Here is a 21,311-nt window from a genome sequence, read left to right as displayed (position 1 = left end):
CACCAAAGAGATAGTATGATTGTGGGCTATGTAAACAGATCTGGATCAAGTCTAAGAGCCACCACTTACTTGCCCTGATTCCCCATGCCTCAGTTTCTGTACCATAAGTGGGGGATAATAATAGTGGTATCTTCTGGTTGTGCTGAGAGATTGAAATTATAACACTTACCATAGTTCCTAGGACACTGTAAGCACTCAATAATTTCTAACCACCCCCACTACTATCATTATCATCATCATCACATTATTATTATTATTGTTATCTCCAACCTTCAGCCTAGATGGTTGATACCTATTAAACATATTATCAAATATTTATACTTTCATATCAATAACATATAAAATAAATTATGTTCATTCTTCAGATGAGCAGAAGAGGTATCATGCCATGATCTCATTTTTAACATGCATTTGCTTCTGAAATCTCAGCTGTAGATTAGTAAATGTAATACTTAGTAATTTTTTGATCTGATGTTTTCTCTGCCCTTCCTGTAATTTAGAGTTTGTACACTTGGTTCTAATTCTGTCAGTGACTTAAATAGATATAAATTTAATGTCATAGCTCATGAGAATTAATGTCACTTTCAAAGTCATCCTCTCAACCTGCCCTTCTCCTTTTTCCTCTTGATCCAAGACCCATTATTCTAAGGTTTCTAACACATTTCTTTTCACTTATACTCCAGACTTGAGATTGCTGTAAACATGAAATTTATTTTTAGATCTTTTTGCTCTGCATTCTACTCAGAGCCTTTCTCTTTTTGCATTTTCACAACATTCCTAGGCTTCTGCTCAGCCAACATTTTAAATATGACAAAAATAAATGCCATGGAGGGAAGACTCTGTGGCAGCAACAGAAATGCCTGTTGAGTCCTCTGTGGAATGAAGCCTGAGACCCCTTGGGTGGTTTAAGCAGAAATATTTGAGCGAAGAAGTGTGAAGGACAGAGGTGTCAGAAGGAATTTTCAAGAGTGTTTATAAACAGTATATGCTACAGAGGGTGCAGGGCTACTGAGACCTCAATTAGGATGGGGGGTGTGGTTAGGAGAGGCCACTATGGTGCAGACATCCACCCATCCCAATTTCTGTAGAAGTCAGCGATGGAAATGCGCAGTGGTCCAATAATGTTCCCATTGGTGGTAGAGTCAGAGCTTTGGTTTTTTATCACCTTACATGGATTTTACACATTATTAAGACATAAGCTAGAGGAGAGAAATTTCTTATTAACAAAACCTGAAATCCTACTAGCACTGATACCTTCTCCCAGCACCTGCACTAGCCACCCATGACATCCTCTACAGATTAGTGTGCCTCCTTTGCTTTCCATGTTAACCTTTTAGCATCCATACCATTCCCCTTATTTAAAATAGGGCTTCTCAACTGAGACACCATTGACATTTGGGGCCAGACAATTCTTTGTGGTGGGGGCTGTCCTGTGCATTGTGGGATATTTAGTGGCATCTCTGACTTCTACCCACTAGATGCTAGAAACCCCTCCCCAAGTTGCTACAACCAAAAATGTCTCCAGACACTGCCACATGACCCCTAGAAGTCACGATTGTCTGCACTTAAGAACGACTAGTGTAGAACCCCCTCTTTCTTCTGCTCTACTAGTCCTTCCTTGTTTTCCTGTATAACTCTGCTCAAAGCTCACCTGTACAAAACAATTCATTAATTAATCCCACCTAGCTCTGAGCTTTTTCATCACTAAGTACCTTCTGTCCTGCTGGGCCTAGACATAGATTTTACCAATTATGTTTTTGCCATAGCCTCCATTTGTAATAAATCAGTTTTTGTTACTCCTTCTGTATGTAAGGAAAGAGTAAGTTTATGACTTCATTTTAAAAATATCTCCAAAGTTCCTGCTAGCATATTCTGCATAAAATGGACTCAGTAACACTTTGATTTAGTGAGCAGAACTACTTTTTTTTTTTTTTTTTTGAGATAGTATCTCACTTTGTCGCCCAGGCTGGAGTGCAGTGGCGCAATCTCAGCTCACTGCAACCTCTACCCTTAGCGTTCAAGAGATTCTCGTGTCTTGGCCTCCCGAGTAGCTGGGATTACAGGTGCCCGCCATCATAGCCAGCTAATTTTTGTATTTTTAGTAGAGACAGGGTTTTGCCATGTTGGCCAGGCTGGTTTCGAACTCCTGACCTCAAGTGATCTGCCCACCGCTGGGATTATAGGCGTGAGCCACTGCGTTTGGCCAGAACTACAGTTTTCTATTACTACCAGTTGCATTGCTTGACTTTTATTTATTTAGCAATTTTACCATTGCTGAATTGCTTCAGGATTGAAGAGAATGAATCTTTAGAATCTCTATTGAAATAAGGAATTAAATAATTGTGATTTCTTTTATTCTGCTGAGAACTTCCAATATACTCATTTGGTGATGAATACATTTTTTAAGTGAATATTCCCAACATACTTGGGACCACTGTAGCTTTCAGCTATATGGCATGTACCTGGGTATGCTGACGCCACACTATTTTTTGTTGGAGATTCAGCAGTTATTTTGTGTGCAGTTGACAGACTTTTTTTTTCCAGGTCCTCCCTGGGATCTAATTTTGTAATGCTCTCAGTGTTTTCTCATGTCCCCTTAGCATTTACTCTATGCATGGAAGGCTGCGTGTTTGGAACACCTAAAACTCTGCCACCTGAGGGCATTTCTTCTAACAGTGGGAATTGCCTGGGTGTTAATGGCCATGAAAGCAATTCTCCCAGCATGGTGACTCATGCCACCTATAATTCCAGTGTTTTGGGAGGCTGAGGCAGGATAATTGCTTGGGCCCAGGAGCTCGAGACCAGCGTGGGCAACATGGCTAGATCCTGTATCTACAATAAAAACAACAACAATAATAATAATCTGGATGTGGTGGTACATGCCTGTAGCCCCAGCTACTCAGGAGGCTGAGAATGGAGGGTCGCCTCAGTCCAGGAATTCGAGGCTGCAGTGAGTCATGATTGCAGCACTGCACTCCAGACTCCAGCCTGGGCGACAGAGCAAGACCCTGTCAAAGAAAGAAAAGAAAAGAAAACAAGCAGCTGGTTGGATGGGGATTTGGCAAAAAACTGCCCCAGCTTCCTAGTCCCCCTGTGAGGACAACTCTGAGGCAAATATATATATATATTTTTTTTTTTTTTGAGATGGAGTCTCCCTCTGTCACCCAGGCTGGAGTGCAGTGGCGCCATCTCGGCTCACTGCAAGCTCCACCTCCCAGGTTCATGCCATTCTCCTGCCTCAGCCTCCCGAGTAGCTGCGACTACAGGCGCCTGACACCACGCCCAGCTAATATTTTTTGTATTTTTAGTAGAGACGGGGTTTCTGAGGCATATTCTGTACTGTCTCTCAGTATTACCTAGTAGGATTGATCAAATTGCTCACAGAAGTAACTTGTGTGATAACACACCTCGGTTGGTTTCTTTCCCTTCTCTGTCTCACCTTCCAAATAAACTACTTACACTCAAATCCTTGTTTCAGACTCCACTTGTAGGAGAACCCAAACCAAGAATCCATGTTATAAATATGATGATTTAACATGTTTAGAGAAATCTTGAACTAATTCACAAAGGCTTGTTCATGAAATGCTGTTGATCGGTGTTGTCACCAAATGTTCTAAGGTCTACATTCTGGGTGGGCCAGACTGCATCAGGGACTGCTGTGCACTGATGTGTTTGTCTGTGATGATGTGGGCATTGTTATTTTTACTGGGTTTGTTGTGAGTAAAGCTTTTGGAAATTATGTTTTCCCACAAGTTCCGCAAATGTTTTCACATTTTAGAAATTGTTTGAGCATGCTGTAAGCCATAACTTTGAAAGTCAAGCAGTTTGGCTGGTGATATTATTTTTAAAGAAACAAAAGTCTTGTTTTGTTTTCAATTTTGGCTTTTGTTATGCTTTGCAATCCTTTTTTGCTCTCATGGCCTTAACTTACTTTGTCTTGTACATGGTTTTGCATAATACTCATGGAGATATTTCATATACATTTTTGTGTGGATATGATTGCAATAAATTTTTTACTGGTAATACTTCACATTCTAAAGCTCTTTTACATATATTTCATTTAATGCTCACAAACCCCCTAAACAATAGGATTATAATCACAGTTTAATGATAGAGAAAACCAAGTTCCAGAAGAGTTTAAGTGAGTTTCTGTTCAGCACTTTTATTTTGTCATGAATTAACATAAACATTTTATTCATGTGATCAGCAATTCTACAAAGACAACAAAGAGTGAGAATGTAATCTCCAAGGGAAGCAGAGTGTGTATTAGCATAGCTGTAGGGCAGGGGAACTTGGGGATGAATGGATACAGACCTCAGCAATTGTCCTAAGTCTGGTCTTCTTTCAGGTTTGTTAATTCACCACATTCTCATGTAATGGAAAGAGTAAACATTCTCTATATGCTAGCATTATTTTACAAAATGAACACCAGTGAACCAGACATGAAAGCAGCATTTTCCCAGTGCTTTCTCACCTTCCAGGAAACCTCCTTCACTGTTGCTGTCAGCCTCTGGTGGATTATCAGCACCATGAACACTATAGTCCATATTTTCTGCATCACCAACCAGGACACCATGAGTACCATGTGTTGGTTTACACACAATCTCTATCGTACTTGCACTAAATTCGTATCTGGGGTGAAGAGGAAGTGCATCACTATCTCAAATGTCAACACTGAATTTTGAATTTTAGTGGATGCTGTTTCTCCCAGGAGCTAGAATATTGCGTTTGATAGCCAGCTCTGAATAGGTCCCTCCTTGACAATTGCCATCCCTTATGTTGGACTCAGTCTGATTTCTTGAACCTTTGCTTGTTATCTGCTGTTGGTACCTGAACTGCTTCTATGGAGGCCAGTTAACCCCCTTTGGCCCTTCCACCGACAGTGCACCTGAGTTATGACTAAGCCATTCTGCGCTGGCAAGGATTCAGTTGGGAAAACATAAAACCTTTAGATATTTCAAGAAGAAAGATTTATTACAGGAGTGAGAGGCTTTCTAAAGAATTGAAAAGGACTTCAACTAGCATTCAAGAAATTAGGAAGATAATAACAGCAGGCAGGCACCATTGATGGTCTCAGATACCTACTGTACCTGGAAGCATCTAGCAACACCTCCCATGGGCCACTGGCCCAAGGCTGTTCATCTGCCTGCCATCACCATATTGGACTTTGGCTTCTCTTAGGCCTTGTGAATATATCTCATTTGTGTGAGCTCACCCTGAACTGTATCGCAAGGTGTCTGGAAAATGTAATTACCAAACTTCTAGCTGCTGGGATCCAGAGAAGAACATAAAGGAATGAATATAGTTCTGAGTAGCCTACTGGTAGTTCAGGCCATATTGTGTTTCTAGGATTTTCTGAAACTGATCTGTGAGCCTGGGGTGCCCAAAGAAGAGGATGTTGTTCCTCCAAAACTGAAGGTGCTGAGAAAAACATTTCTGATCTGGGGCAGGGCAATAGAATCAGGGAGAAATAGCAACTGGAGATGTGATGACCCTCAAAATTAAGATTCAGTGATAGTTGTTGATGTGAAATAGGAAAAGACTAGTACCTATGCTTCACACAGAGCTACCAGGAAAATTGGGCAACTCCCTAACCGTATCCTTACTATACATAGTAGAGTAGTACTCTGAGATTTCCCTACTTTCTGGTAAAATATGTTGTGCACTTTAATCAGCTGGCTGAGTGTCTTCTCTACTCCTGTATGCCAAGGTCAGAGTCTTTGGATAAGTTTTCTCCTTCAGAGACAAACCTTGGAAAAAGTCTCCAGGAGGCAATGAGATTTGTCCAGGAGGTTATCCTTGCATAGGAGGTGCTCCATCCAGCCAGTCCTGTAGGGCATGAGACCTGGCCAGGAGTAGTAGAACAACTTTTGGGATTGTTTTTAGTGGCATATTCTACTTGTCATGTGATTCATAACATTTGCTTCCAGAAGCCTGTGCTTTTGGCCTAGATACAAGACTGAAAGGCTGAGGCATCCATGAAATTGACCTAATGCTGTATAAAAATGTTACTACATGTTACAAGTCATAAAGTCTGGTTTATTCCTCGTAGAATGCTAGCAATCAGTTTTCTTTTCATCATGATGTGAAATAGTCTTTTTATATTCATAATTAGGTTTTGTTAAGAAATTTTACTGTGTTCAGATGAATTAATATTAAATATCAAATAATGATATATTTTTTCCTTCAAGAATATATTATAAAACCAGAACTCTATTAAAAAAAAAAGTTCTGTTGGATAAGTCAAATAAAAAGTACTATACCTAAGCACTTATGGGCCCTTAATTTAAGCAAACTGAGGTACTAACTTTGAGTTTCCTTAATACCTTATTAATACTTTTAATCTTTTTTTAAGGAAATTTGTATGGAAGTTGTAATCAATAGTGTTCTGAAGGTTTTAAAAAATTCTAGTTGGAAAAATACTTCACAGAGACTATACCTAATACTGAAATTTTGTTTCTTTTATAATGATTAACATGCAAAGAGAAAGGCATAATAAGCTCCAGTTAATTAATTGGAAGTTGAATTATTTAACCTGTATATATTGGAAATCTTCCTAGTTGCACTGAACACTGATTTATCTATTCTTGCTATCTATCATTTTATTGTTTTTCATTGGAATAAAAGCACTTTTTAGACCTTATGTGAATTTTTTTGTTGACAATGATAAGCTAACATGTCAACAAAATGTTTTATAAATGAGTAGTTTTAGAGGCTGCCTCTCTTTGTGACCTTTAACACACAATGCTTTAGATCTCTAGACTAAAAAAAGTGACAAGTCAAAACTAAGAATACTCGGAGACATGTTACTGAAAATAAGGCCTGCAAGAAATTATTTTAAGTTAACCAACAGTAACTTATCAAAGAGTATTATGTTTCACATTGCAGGCGAAACTAAGAATACCAGCATTTGTTATGGTGAAGTTTAACTTCAAAGTGAAGTTTAACTTCACTTTGATTTTAAGTATAAACATAAGTGTGAATTTCTGCCAGTTCCTTCTAGACTTAGGTTATGATGTGAAATTAGGAACTTGATTGTAGCTGCAATCAAGTTCTTAATTGTTATGAATGATGAATGTTTGCAAAGTTTCCAATCTTTGCAGAGATGTGCTATTCTGGCTTACAGGAGTATCTTTCTAATTAGTAGGTGGATATGTACTTATATGCATGTGCACGCATATGAGAGAGAAATACTTTTCTCAGTTAATGTGCTTCTGATTATATACATCTTGTGAGATTTCATACAATTGAAAATTAGCTAGAAAGAACAATAATACTGAGTTTTCTTCATAACACATTTCCATAATGCCTGTTCCATTACTTTTGTTATTTACATATTTGAACTTATTATTATTAAATTGGATTATCTTATGATTTTTTTAATAAGTGGATATTCCAACTCTTGGCTCACAAAATTACAGTTGGTAAATAATTTCTTCAAGGAATTTTAATATTGATAAATTACTTATTTCAAATGAATTCACTTAATATCATTTTTATTTTCTTATGAATTTTCTAATAAAAACATATTTTTCATTTCTTCCTCTCTTTTTTCAACTCAATGTCTTTTTTAAAAATGACAGTAATGTGTGGTTATAATTATGCATTTTTTCCAGGTGCTCAATGGCCCTTATGTCTCTTTTAAAAAAACTTTTATTTATTGTGGGTTTTCTCCCCAAAGCAGAAGTTAGTCCAATACACATGGCATAGAAATTTCACAATTAGGCAATTAAACTAGAAGTATAACAGCTGACATGTGTTCAAAGTAATAAAGTTCCAAAATTAGAAGGTGAATCAAATTAACATAAAGGCATTATTAACTTTTTCTAGGAGGCGTGAGTTTGCAAAAGTCTTGGGTAATTTGATTTGCTTATTCTCAAAATAGCCACTGAACCTTGAGTGACATTGCGTTTCAAAGGTGGGAGCCAGAGGGAAGGTCACTGTTAGTGTTGGAGTGGCAAAGAGGAGGTTTAACTTTCAAATCATCTAGGGTAATGCCTGCTACTCTATTTTGAGACTTTTAGCTAGATGGCAAGAAGTTTTTTTTTTTTTGATGGGAATCAGAAAGTTAAATAATTCCTGAATTTGGAACTTCAGGTGGTTTTTAAACCTTCTCCTTGTTTTATAGTTTCCTCTGTTGTTTATACCTTCCTAACATTCAAATGATAAAGTTATTTTCATTTTTAAAAGAAACAAATCCAAATAATAATCCCATTATGTGGGATTGTTGACTCTAAGCATTGTGTTTTCTTAATATACCAATTACATGCTAATGGGCTTTTTAAAAATCTATACAGGAACATTTTAAGATTGAATGAATGAGCATGCCATTTCCATTACAAGCTGCTAGACTGCAGTTTCACAGACTACTGATGTGGATCTGAGGGCAGTTCCTCAAATTAATATGGTAGATCCACAGTTTTGAAAGGCAATTTTCATTTTATATAACTTCTGGCATGTTCTTAAAAAGAATTACACACACACCTTTTAAGTGGTTCCCCCAGTGTGGCTGCTATTCATTTTGTTGTCATCCTTGGTATTCAGGTCTGGCCTAGTCCCTTCATAATGTATTACCCCTGTCGCTTTTGCTTTCTTGCCCTTCCTATGAGCTCCTGCTCTCTTTTCTGGTGCTTAGGTGGGGCAGCACTTTTCTTGTTGCATATGGATAGAGTCAGCCCTGCCTCTGGCCCCTCCCAAAGGACATGCTGTATCACCTGCCCCAGCAGCTTCTGTGGTAGGCCCACAGTGCTTCCATTTTGTGATTGTTGCCACTGGCCTCCGTCTGAATTTGTTTCACTGCCCTAGCCATGTGTGGACATCCAGATGTTGCATCCTTGGTGTTCATGTGGAACAACCAATGCTTCCTGATACCAAGGAAGCCAGGGCTTTCTGCAGCTTCCCTTCTTTGACATGAAAAACAGAGGTGGATAGGGAAACTTGAAATCACTAGTCCATTTTTGTCCAGAGCTGGCAGAAAATTTGGGTTGGCCAGATATAACTTTATTTCCTTTGGGGTCATAGCCAAACTTGATTTTCTTTAATACATCAATTTTCAAAACATGTTATTTTATTTTTATATACTTATTAATGTTGAATAGTTCATGTATACATACAGATAAAAAATTCAAATGGTCTTAAACAATATGTGCTTTTATTAAAGGTCTCATTCTCATCTCTAGTCCTGAGTCTACCATTTTACTTACCCAGAGACAAGTGATAGCAATGTCTTGCATACATTTCCATTCTTCCTGCGTTATTGTATGCATTTATAAGCATGCACGTTTCTGAATCTATATGTATACCACTTTTGTACAAATTATACTGCATAATTTGTATACAATTTCTTATACTTAACATACCTTGGAGATAGTTTTATATCTCTGGGTGTACATATGCTTCCTTTGTTTTAGCTTTTGTTTTTAAGGGTTTTATAGTGTTCCATTATATGGAGATTAATTATAAAATAGTGATCCCTTAATTTGTTTAACCTGTCCTCTACTGATGGCTATTTCTGTTGCTTAGGATCCTTTACTTTGGATCAAGGGCTGGCAAACATCTTCTGTAAGGGATAAATAGTGAATATTTTAGACTTTGCAGGCCTTGTGGTCTCTGTTGAAACTGCTTCACTCTGTATTACAATAACAGCCATAAACTATACGTAGCTATGTTCCAATTAAACTTTGTTTATAAAAACAGGCTGCAGTCCAGGTGTGGCCCCTGCCCTAGATGTTCAGTTTTGAGAGACTGTCATGCAAAAAGTGTTTGTGACTGGCCTGCAGAAAGTGCTTAACAGATAGCTGTTATTTGATTGATGGGTAATTTGTCTGGAAATTTGTCATTAGAATAAGGAGAATGCTAAACAGTAAAAGATTTGAAAAATACATTTGTATCAAAAAAGAGGTATGGAAAATAGAAAATGCATGACTTTAGGAGCATTTGACTTTCTGGTGTTTAAAAAATTGTTTAAGATGACGCTTTGACTTCTTTTCAAAGTGTAGTAAGCAGGAATAAGAAAATTGGAGGAAGGATTATCTACCTCTTTGTAGCACTACCAACCTTTGAAATTTTGCTTCCTGCTCCAGTCTGACTAGTAAACTCAGATTCACCCACAAAACTGGGTATGGTAACATAGCTCATGGTTATTAAAGCCGTTTGGTTTTGCATGATGAGTGTATTTTGTTGAAAATGTGTGTCAACCTTATGATGTCCACATACAAATGTCCTACATAGGCTTTTCCCTCCTTCTGGGGTTCTAGAGAACACATGAAAGTACTTCTCCTTTCATTAAACACTAAACTTGATGCTTTTAAATTCTTTGACGTTCTGTATTAGAGATGAGTAAACTAAGGCCTGCAGGCCAAATTCAACCTGCTGCTTATTTTTGGAAATAAGGTTTTATTGGAACACAGTCATATGCATTTGTTTACACATTACCTGTGGCTTCCTTCATGTTACAACAGACAACTTGGGTAACTGAAATAGAGAATATAGAACTCATGATAATGAACATTTACTGACCCTTTATGGAAAAAAATCTTTTCAACCCGTCTTTTTGATTGCACTATTTTTCCCTCAACTTTGAGAATCGGGTGCTCTCTTCTCTGAAGTTGTAGGGAATCTATTATTATTTTTTTAGCATGGAGAACTTGCAATCAGCATGTTTCTTAGCTTTTAAAGAACAGGCATGGTTGTTCGGTTGATTTATCTTTTCAATATAGTGAATTCCTACTTTATTATTATTATTATTATTATTATTATTATTATTTTGAGACCGAGTCTCACTCTGTCGCCCAGGCTGGAGTGCAGTGGCGCGATCTCGGCTCACTGCAAGCTCCGCCTCCTGGGTTCACACCATTCTCCTGCCTCAGCCTCCCGAGTAGCTGGGATTACAGGCACCCACCACCATGCCTGGCTACTTTTTTTGTATTTTTAGTAGAGATGGGGTTTCACCGTGTTAGCCGGGATGGTCTTGATCTCCTGACCTCGTGATCCACCCTCCTCGGCCTCCCAAAGTGCTGGGATTACAGGCGTGAGCCACCGCGCCCGGCCCTCCTACTTTATTTGTTGAACAGACAGTTATTAAACTGCCTCTTAAATAGTTATTAAACCTGTTATGTTCAAGCCTGGGAATACAAAGGCAAATTATATTGATTTCCTGTTTGGGAAAAAACTTGGGGGCCAATGATTGACATAGATAAATAAATCAGTGATTATAAGGGTAACAGAGATATGAAGGAACTGTTATGGGAGGAGGAACCCTCCATATTATCCCGGAGGACAACAAAGGCTTGCTGGTGCAGAAAGGTGACATTTTGAAGGATAACAAGGAATTGGACAAACAAGGAAGAACACATTCCAGGCAGGCAGAAGGTACACTAAGCATGTACAAAGATGCTGAGATCTTAAACAGCTTTAAACAGCTTGAGGTAGTGGAAGAAGCAGTGACAGTAAAAAAATGGGCCTCATCATGAAAGACCAAGTGCATCGATGATGTAAGAGGTGAAAGTGGCATTGCTTCTCCCTTCCATACCACCACCCAGCCACCAGGGGGCCATGACCTAGAGATTGCTGGAACATGAAGGACTCTGATGTTCTGGAGGAGGTGTTGCCATCTCTGATCCCTTTAAAGGAAGGACTAATAAAGATCTGTCGCTATAGCTGAAAAATAGCTGTGGACAGGGCAGACAAGTGGACAAGCAGAAGCGGAACAAAAGTTCCCGATAAATTCCCAAAGCAGTTAACTGTAGTAGAGGGAATTTACGTGACTTAACTGTAGAATTCTCCATAAGGGGAGCTGCTTCATGCAACTGCGTAAAATTTGTCCTTTTTTTTTTTTTTTTTTTTTTTTTTTTTTTTTTGAGATGGAATCTTGCTCTTGTCGCCCAGGCTGGAGTGCCTTGGCATGATCTCGGCTCACTGCGAACTCCGCCTCCCGGATTCAAGAGATTCTCCTGCCTCAGCCTCTCAAGTATCTGAGATTACAAGCGTCCACCACTACTCCCAGCTAATTTTTGTATTTTTAGTAGAGACAGGGTTTCACCATGTTGGCCAGGCTGGTCTCGAACTCCTGACCTCGTGATCCGCCCACCTCGGCCTCCCAAAGTGCTGGGATTACAGGCATGAGCCACCACACCTGGCAAAATTTCTCCTTTTTAAACTGTACCTACAGCTCTTTATCTTAGTGCAACTAAAGTTGATAAAGTCTTCATGATCCTTTGCAGCCTAGTTCAAGTTAAAACCAAGAGAGAAGAAAACAAAAGCAAATTAAGCCCATTCCTTTGCCAAGAAGAAGTGTTACTTGATTTTTATTTGCATCCTCAATGTTCCTTGGAAAATAACATGATGTTTGGCGATGTTCAAATGCCTGTTGACAATCCTCCGACATCATTTTCTGTTTCCATTGCCTCACTCAGCACAAGGGCTCTCATAAGCTTTCCAGTCAACGATGAAGCCCAGATGTTATGGATAAGCCACAGACTTTTGGGGGAAACTAAGCAAACACCAATAATAAATAATGCCTTGAGGACATACTACAGCTCCTCTCTAAGTATCGTGATGGTCAGGCTTCATCATTTCCCAAGCAGATTGCTTGGATTTTAATTTTGGCAGCAAATAACATGGAGCGTGTGGGTTTGTAAATGGTAGCTCTGTCCCAATAATTCCAGATGATGGGGCCATTCCAGCTTTCTTTAACTTAGAGATTTGAGCATGCATTGTGGTAGGTCTACTCACCGTATCTGTCTAGAATGATTCAGAGAGGCCACTCCTGGGCTGAGTTACTTCTCATACATATATATAATTGGAGGCCACATTAGCCTGCAGTATAACTTTGGAATTAAGATTTGCTCAAAACCAAGGCTGAGTTTGATTAATAGGTTGTAAGTTAGAAACTTCCTTTCTTGTGTTCTGATCCCAAATTCCTACTTTATATTGTGGCACCTATAAAATTGTCCTAGCTAAGGATGACTTGATGGTACCTAACGTGAGACTGGTTTATGGATGAAGTTCTTTGTGCTTACAGGGTTTTTTCCTGATAATTAACACTGGGATGAATCGCAAGACCCATCTTTGCAAAAGGCAGTTTCTTTTCTTATTTTTAGAGGATTGTTCCTGAAATGATTTTGTTCATGTTTTGGCTCCTGTAATATCTCTATTCATTTTTTTCATGGAATTTTTTCTTTGGGTCTTTTTCTTCATAATTTTTTTTTTTTGCCTTTCAGAAAACACAACACAAAACAAAAAAAAAGAAACAAATGGTTAAAATTCAAGGGATTGTTGTAGCTCTGAGGGTAAAACGTGCAGCCTGTTGGTGTCATTTGTTACTCATACAAACTCTTAGTATTTTATTTCTGTTGCAGCATTGGGGTTGCTATCTTTCTCATCATGAGTAATCTAGCATTCATGCTGCATTCTATTCATAGCTGTCATACTGTCTCTGACAGGGTGTTTTCAAAACTTTGATCTGCTTCCAGAAAAGACTTTTACATGGGTGATAGGATTTATGGAGGAAATTTTCAACTGAATACCAGGTATTACCTTCTTGGAAAGAGCAAAGCATCAAACGTGAATATCTCCTTTTTCTTCTTCCTCTCCTCTTCTTCCTCTTCATTTTAATTTTATCGAAGCTCAGTTTTTAGTAACTTTATGTTTCCTTTTTATTACTGTATCTTTGTACTCTTCAATAGCAGTGTCCAAGGGGTAGAAATTTGATTGTTGTGGTAGGGGAAGAAGCAGGAAAAACTACATATTTCAACAAAGGTTTGTCTGACTCTGAGCAAGTTATTGGGGTACAGACATGGATAAGACATAGTCTCTGTCCTTGGAAATTTCAGAACCTAGTAGGGAGACAGTTACATAAACAGAAAATATAACATAGGAAGGAATGAACAGGATATTCTAGAAATACCAAAGGCTCTGAAAGTAGGGTGATTTCTACTTTTAAAGAGGTAATTTAGGTTCTGAAATTAAATTCCTGAAAATAAGGGCCACCCTAGAACCTTACCATAACAAAATTAGCTACAGTTAGTTATGCTAATAGTAACCTCTTTCCTGTCTCGAGGAACTCCTTTTCTTTATTCCACAAAGAGCCTCACCTTCATGGAAGATCCAAAACAAGAAACTGTAAGTCTGGTTTTGACTGTTGGTCTTTTAAAGAAACTCTGTAATCGGCAAAGAATGGGTCCATTGCAGGAAGTTGTCCAACTGGATGTTAACTAGTCAGATAGCAGCCTTGCTGGGGTATAGCACAAGTTGGCCAATTCGCACTGGCACATAGCCTGGCCTCTTGGGTCTTCCTTGTAACTCAAATCACTTTGCAAGCCCTGGTAGTTTCACGAAAGTCAGATGTACCCTTAACTCTTACCCCATACACTCATCTATCCTGGAAAGAAAAAGTTGTTGGATCTTGGCCCACTACTCAGGAAAGTGTATTGACCACAGGTTGTATAGTTAAGTAACAGCATTTTGAGGAGGATGATAATGATAGTGATGATGGTGATGATGATGATAACAACATTGATGGTGCTGCTGTTGCTGGTGTGCTTAATGATAAGGATATGTGATTATAATAGGGTAGGAACTATATCTTATCCTTTTATACCTAGTATTTGGCGCAGAGTAGGGATTTCAGAAAGTTTGTTTGTTGTGGATGGAGTGAGCAGTTAGAGTTTCCCACTTAAAACCTGACACAGAGCATGCCATCCCACTTACTCAACACCCTCCAGTGAACTTCCGTTTCATCAGCATCACCCTGTGTTGACCTATGTATTCTGGCTCTCCTCTGATGTTACTCTGGTCTCATCTCTTATCACTCCCCAGAGACTGGCTTCTTTGTTTTTCTTCAAACACATGCACGTTCCCATGTGGAGGTCTCTGCGTACGCTCTTCCCTCTGCCTGGAATGCTTTCCCCCAAATATCACTGTGGCTCATTTTTGTTGTTGTTGTTTTTGAGATGGAGTCTTGCTCTGTTGCCCAGGCTGGAGTGCAGTGGCATGATCTTGGCTCACTGCAACCTCCACCTCCCAGGTTCAAGAGATTCTCCCACCTCAGCCTCCCCAGTAGCTGGGGGCCCACCACCACTCCTGGCTAATTTTTTTGTATTTTTAGTAGAAACGGGGTTTCACCATATTGGCCGGCTGGTCTCAAACTCCTGAATTCAAGTGATCTGCCCACCTTGGCCTCTCAAAGTGCTGGGATTACAGGTGTGAGCCACGACGCCCTGTCCCAATGTGGCTCACTTTTTAGCTTTCTCAGTTCTCTGCTTAAATGTCCGCTTCTCAGAGAGGCCTCCCCTGACCACTGTGCACCCCTCTCTCCCTCCCATGTCCCTTTATCCAGCTTTATTTTTCTTTGCAATATTTACGTATTAAGCATTATTTGTGTATTTGTGGCCTATCTCTGCTCACTCCATCTCGACTGAATCTAAGCTACATGAGGACTACCTCCTTTGTTTTCATCATAGGCATTTCCCTAGAACCTAGAACAGTGCATGGCATATAGGCATACCTCTGTAAATATTGTTGAATTAATTTGAAATGAGTTAATGAATTGCTTATACCATCAGAAGACACATTTCATGAACTGGCATGTATTTCAGGTATCTTTCTAGGTTTGTCTTTCTTATCACCCTCTTGGTTGTGTGAGCCCCTTCAGAACAGAGATCCTATCAGATGTGTTTTGTTGTCCCAAAAGGAGCCCAGCACAACCCCATTCACACAGTAGTTGTTCAGTAAATGCTTATTCATTGGTAGATTGTCTCAAAGGTTCCCACTTAGGAGTATTGCTTTTCTTTTTTGCTCTGCTTCACCACATTTTTCAGTCACTCTGTTTTCCTTCCTGCGTTTTGACACTTTATCAAACTGTACTTTTTCACTGTAGACATCTATGGGGGGAGAGATTATACAAGAGTATTTTTATTTCCACTCTCAAATACATGTGGTGGATTCAGGTTTAATTTTGTATTATTCATACCACTGCACCAAAGACCAACTACCAAGAAAACTGTAAAAACCAGAGAATATATTTTCTATTCTTGATGAAATAAAGGTTCTGTATGAGAAACCAAATTTCTAACTTCAAAAGATTTAATAGGTTGATTCTTTTTTAAAATTGACACATAATATTTGTTCATATTTAGGAGGTACATGTCATATTTTGTTACATGCATAGAGTGAGCAATGATTTAGTCAGGGTATTTAGGGTATCCATCACCTCGAGCATTTATGATCTCTATGTGTTGGGAATATTTCAAATCTTTTCTTCTAGCAGTTTTGAAATATACAATACATTGTGGTTAACTATGGTCACCGTACTCTGCTATCGAACCTTAGAACTTATTCTCTCTATCTAACTGTATGTTTGCACACATGAACCAACCTCTCTTCATCTCACCTCCACCCACACTTCCTAGGCTCTGGTTACTATTATTCTACTCTCTGCCTCCATAAAATACACTTTCTAAGCTCCCACATGTGAGTGAGAACATGTGGTATTTCTCTTTCCGTGCGTGGCATATTTCACTTAACACTATGACCTCCAGTTATATCCATGTTACTGCAAATGATGGGATTTCATTCTTTTTTTATGGTGGAATGGTATTCCATTGTGTATATTATACAGCACATTTTCTTTATCCATTCATTGAACAGGATGATTCTTAAAAGCAACTTCCAGCTGATTACATTTAGGCAAATACATTTAAACATTTGCTGTGGTTTTTAGCATGTTAGTAGCTTTTGAATATAGTACATTCTGCCTACTCAATGCCCTTGAAATGTCTTTCTGAAATAGTTAAATTCATGTTGGTATTCACACTGGACTCTGTATCACTGCCTCCCTTACCCAAAGGAGTTTGACTAGTTACTTGCTAGTTGAAACCAGCTTGGTACAAGCTGACACATTTTTCAAGAAATAGTTGTGTAATACATGTTGATATTCTTTGTTCTTCCTTTCCTTATTCATCCATTTGGCTCCTTTCTTCTTTCCCTGACTCTATTCCTTCCCCCTTGACTTTTTGGAAGCCATTATCGCTTTAGTAAACTTAATGGTGAATTGCTTCAAGAGTAAAAATGCTCTGCTTTTCAAATTAGAAAAGGACTATTTCCTGTATTCTTGGGGATCTCATTCTCTCATAGCTCTTATTTAAAACGTTCTGGCCAGGTGCAAGCACTCATGCCTGTAATCCCAGCAATTTGGGAGGCCGAGGCAGGCAGATTGCTTGAGTCCAGAAGTTCGAGAAAAGCCTGGGCAACATGGTGAGACCTCCTGTCTAAAAAAAAATACAAAAATTAGCTGGGCATGGTGGCGCACGCCTGTAGTTCCAGCTGCTCAGGAGGCTGAGGTCAGAGGATCGCTTGAGCCCAGGAGGTTGAGGCTACAGTGAGACATGATTGCAGCACTGCATTCCAGCCTGGGTGATAGAGTGACACCCTGTCTCAAAAAAAAAAAAAAAATGTTCTAAGCAACGATTTTGTTTATTTGTTCAAGATTGGATTTTCTACACATTTAAGCCTGATTTATCACAAATAAAGCACTTTCTCACAAAATATATTCTCAGCTAATTATTATTTTCATTAGTAGCACTGTCCTAACTTTATAACACATAAAGTTCCCCTGGTCTTGTTTTTAACGTCTTGACATATGTATACATTTTTGAATGACTAAATCAAGCTAATTAACATATGCATTACCTCACATACTTATCTTGTTTTGTGGTAAGAACACTTAATATCTACTCTCTTAGCTATTTTCAAGTGTACAATACACTGTTATTAACTGTGGTCACCATGTTGTACCATAGAGCTCTTGAACTTATTCCTCCTAACTGAAATTTTGTATCCTTTGACCAACATCTTCCAATCCTCCCTCTCCATCTCCAGCCCCTATCAACCACCATTCTACTCTCTGCTTCTATGAGTTTGCCTTTTTTAGATTTCACATATAAATTGATATCATATGGCATTTGTCGTTCTGTGCCTGGTTTGTTTCACTAAACATAATGAATTCCAGGTTCATCTGTGTTGTTGCAAATGGTAGGATTTCTTTCTTTTTTAAGGCTGAACAGTATGCCATTGTGTGTGTGTGTGTGTGTGTGTCTATATATATATATATATATATATATATATATATATATATATATATGGCACATTTTCTTTATCAGTTCATCCACTGATGGAACTTTAGGTTGATTCCATATCTTGGCTCTCGTGAATACTACCACAGTGAACATGGGAGTGCAGATATTTGACATGCTGATTTCATTTCCTTTGGATATATACTCAGTAGTGGGATTGCTGGATTATATGGTAGTTCTATTTCTAATTTATTGAGGAACTTCCATACTGTTTTCCATATTGGCTGTTCAAAGTTACATTCTCACCAATAGTGTACCAGGCTTCCTTTGTCTCCACATCCTCTCCAGCACTTCTTATGTTTCATATTTTTGATAACCATTCTAACAGGTGTGAGGTGATGTCTCATTGTAGTTTTGATTTGCATTTCTCTGATGACTAGTTATATTGAGTATGTTTTTCATATATTGAAAAAAATATTGACCATTTGATGTTTTCTTTTGAGAAATGCCAATTCAGGTATTTTGCCCATGTTTTAAATGGGTTGTTTATTTTCTTACTATTGAGTTGTTTTAGTTCCTTATACCTTTTCTAGGTTTTTGTTTCATCTATGCTGTCTTCTCGTACAGCTCATTGTATTTGTTTGCTAAGGCTGCTGTAATGAAGCAGCACAAACTGAGTGGCTTAAACAAATGTATTGATCCACAGTTCTGGAGGTTAGAAGTCTTAGATCAAGGTGTCAGCAAGGTTGGTTCCTTCTGAAGGCTGTGGGGGAGAATCTATTCTAAGTCTCTCTCCTAGTTTTAATGGTTTGCTGGCAATCTTTGGCATCATTTAGCTTGTAGATGCATCACCCTAATCTCTACCTTCATCTTCACATGGCATTCTTTCTATGTGTGTATCTCTCTGTCTGTCCAAACTTCCCTATTTCACAAGGACACCAGACATATTGGATTAGGACCCACTCTAATGACATCATTTTAACTTGATTACTTCTGTTTATTCCCTATCTCCACATAAGGTCACATTTCAAAGTAGTGGGGGTAAGGACTCCAACATATCTTTTTTTTGGAGACACAATTCATCCCATAACACTCATCTTCTGAAATGTCAAACTCTGGAGTTAGTAAAACCAACAAAAGTGTTCATTGCAGCATTATTAACATGGGTTAATAATGGGTTCTCTGGTTTATCAAATGTTTAACTTTGACTCTTTAGATATAGTAAAACTTTAACTGAGTAGGGTGAGAGGTTCTAACAGATGGAATTTTCTAATTTGCTGGCAATTAGCCTGTAGATGACTATGCGAGATGTCAGCTCTGGTTCCTTCAGTAGAATATACATAATAGAAATTTTGATGATTAACAATCCTTCTATTTAGTATTCATCCTAACCTCAGACTCTTCATTTCATTTCATGAGCCTGCCTACCCATTATGGCAAAGTGAAGACACTGTGATGTTGTCCATGACATTTATGTTGTTCCCAAGTCACCCTTGTGTTGTCCATGACTTTTATCTCACTCCTTTCTTCCTTGTTCTAACCACTCCTCCAGTTCCCGAATCTTGCTTCTCTCCCCTACTTTTGTACATTTGTATTTGTTCTGTAGATTTTTTTACTCAATGCCCCCTAAAGAATTTATCTTAGATATGCTCTACTGGCTGTTCCTGATTCAAATCAAACTGATGAATGGGCCATCCTAACTAGTCCTTTTGACATCAGTCACCACACCAATGAGTCCACTCACCAGCACACAAACTGGGCCCCCTTAGTTTATCCACAAAGTGGAGAATTTGACAAGATAATATACTGTCCTCTCATGATATGTATTGTGAGATGCCCTCTTAAGAGACTTTCCAAGTGGCTAGTCTCTACCTCATCTGATTACATTAACATGCAGTTATTCCAATGATCTTCCTAATGTGTAATTCTGAAAAGCAACTTGCATTCAAAATCCATCAAGGCCCCTCCCTCCATTGCCCATTCAATGAATGCATTCTTCAGACTGACATCTTACCTTCACATACCTACCTACTAGAGCTCCAAACAAGTAGTTCTCAGCCTTGGTTGACATTGAATTACCTCAGGAGATTTAGAAACTAAAGATGCCTGAGCCACACCCAAGATAATCTAATTTAATTGGTCTGGAGTGTGGTCTATGCATCAGGATTTTTAAAAGTTCCAATATTCAGTCAGGGTTGAGAACTACTTGTTTAGAGCAACATGTCTCCAATCTTAATGTGTGCAGTAATTGTCTTATTCAAATACACATTCTTATTCAGCAGGTCTGGGGCCAGCCAAGGTTCCTGTATTTTTTATAACCAGTGATTTTTTTGGTCCACACTTTGCATAACAGGGTGATAAACGGAGCTCTGTCAGGTCCGGGACCACATTTTTCTCATCTTTCTGTCTCTAAAGTATAGTGTAGAAGCTCTTAGCAAATGTTTGAAATCAAATTAAATTACAGCCTTTCCCCAACTTTCCAACCTTTTTCTCTGCATATTGAAGTCCATATAAGCATAGGCTTATCTCTTTTTGAAGCCTATCCCTAGCCACAACCAGAAGGCCAATGTTTTTTACTCATTCATTCAACCAACATTTTCTAAGTGCCCTTTATGGCCTGTTACCAAGCATTCTGTAGATAATAAAATGTAATTTCCACCTCAAATTTGCATGCCCTAACAGGGGATTATCCTCTTGGTGTGTGCTTCACAGATTACCAGTGCTACACAACCAGGTGTTTTGTTTTAATATGCTTTACCTTCGTAAAATACAAAGTTCAACACTTGGGTGTCTCTGCAATGTCAAGTTGCTATAAACGTTTCTAAACAGTGCTCTCAAATTCTCTCCTTGTAAAATGGCAGTAAGTAATTTTCAGATCATGTTGGTTCATGGACTACACTTTGAGTACTGCTTTTTCAGGGCCTTTCCAGACAAAGTGGAGTCTGTAGACCAGCAGCATCAGCATCCTTGAAAGCTTCTGAGAAATGCAGAAGCTTGGATCTCATCACAGGCCTACTGAATCAGAATCTGCATTTCTAGGTGATTTGTGTGCACATTACAGACTGAGAAGCACAGCTCCAGGGCAGTGGCTCTAAACCTTGGCTGCATATTAGATTCACCCCTGGGGCTTCTAAAAATTCTGCTTTCCTTCTTTTGAGAATTGTCTATTCAGATCCTATTTGTTTTTGTTGTTGTTGAGTTGAGCTCTTTTTATATCGTGGATGTTAGTCCTTCATTGGA

General features: G+C 38.6%; 1 protein-coding gene across 3 annotated transcripts in view, besides 3 other annotated features; it reads left to right on the top strand.

The window, feature by feature from the left end:
- ARHGAP6 (Rho GTPase activating protein 6) overlaps nucleotides 1-21,311 on the top strand; it is a 528,377-nt gene that overhangs the window by 95,226 nt on the left and 411,840 nt on the right. The window lies entirely within an intron of this gene.
- Nucleotides 4,053-4,664: an enhancer, noted in NCBI's record as "OCT4-NANOG-H3K27ac hESC enhancer chrX:11584151-11584762 (GRCh37/hg19 assembly coordinates)". NCBI's record gives its function as "activates a minimal SCP1, AML or CMV promoter by ChIP-STARR-seq in naive H9 embryonic stem cells {active_cell/tissue: H9 hESC(naive)}" and the evidence as "EXISTENCE:reporter gene assay evidence [ECO:0000049][PMID:30033119]".
- Nucleotides 4,665-5,277: an enhancer, noted in NCBI's record as "H3K27ac hESC enhancer chrX:11583538-11584150 (GRCh37/hg19 assembly coordinates)". NCBI's record gives its function as "activates a minimal SCP1, AML or CMV promoter by ChIP-STARR-seq in naive H9 embryonic stem cells {active_cell/tissue: H9 hESC(naive)}" and the evidence as "EXISTENCE:reporter gene assay evidence [ECO:0000049][PMID:30033119]".
- Nucleotides 11,372-11,666: an enhancer, noted in NCBI's record as "tiled region #13392; HepG2 Activating non-DNase unmatched - State 13:Ctcf, and K562 Activating DNase matched - State 12:CtcfO". NCBI's record gives its function as "activates a minimal TATA promoter and a strong SV40 promoter by Sharpr-MPRA in HepG2 and K562 cells {active_cell/tissue: HepG2 | K562}" and the evidence as "EXISTENCE:reporter gene assay evidence [ECO:0000049][PMID:27701403]".

Source organism: Homo sapiens, chromosome X, assembly GCF_000001405.40.
Source record: "Homo sapiens chromosome X, GRCh38.p14 Primary Assembly".
Lineage (NCBI taxonomy): Eukaryota > Metazoa > Chordata > Mammalia > Primates > Hominidae > Homo > Homo sapiens.
Note: the sequence above shows the minus strand (reverse complement) of the source record. Positions and strands in the feature narration are given on the sequence as shown.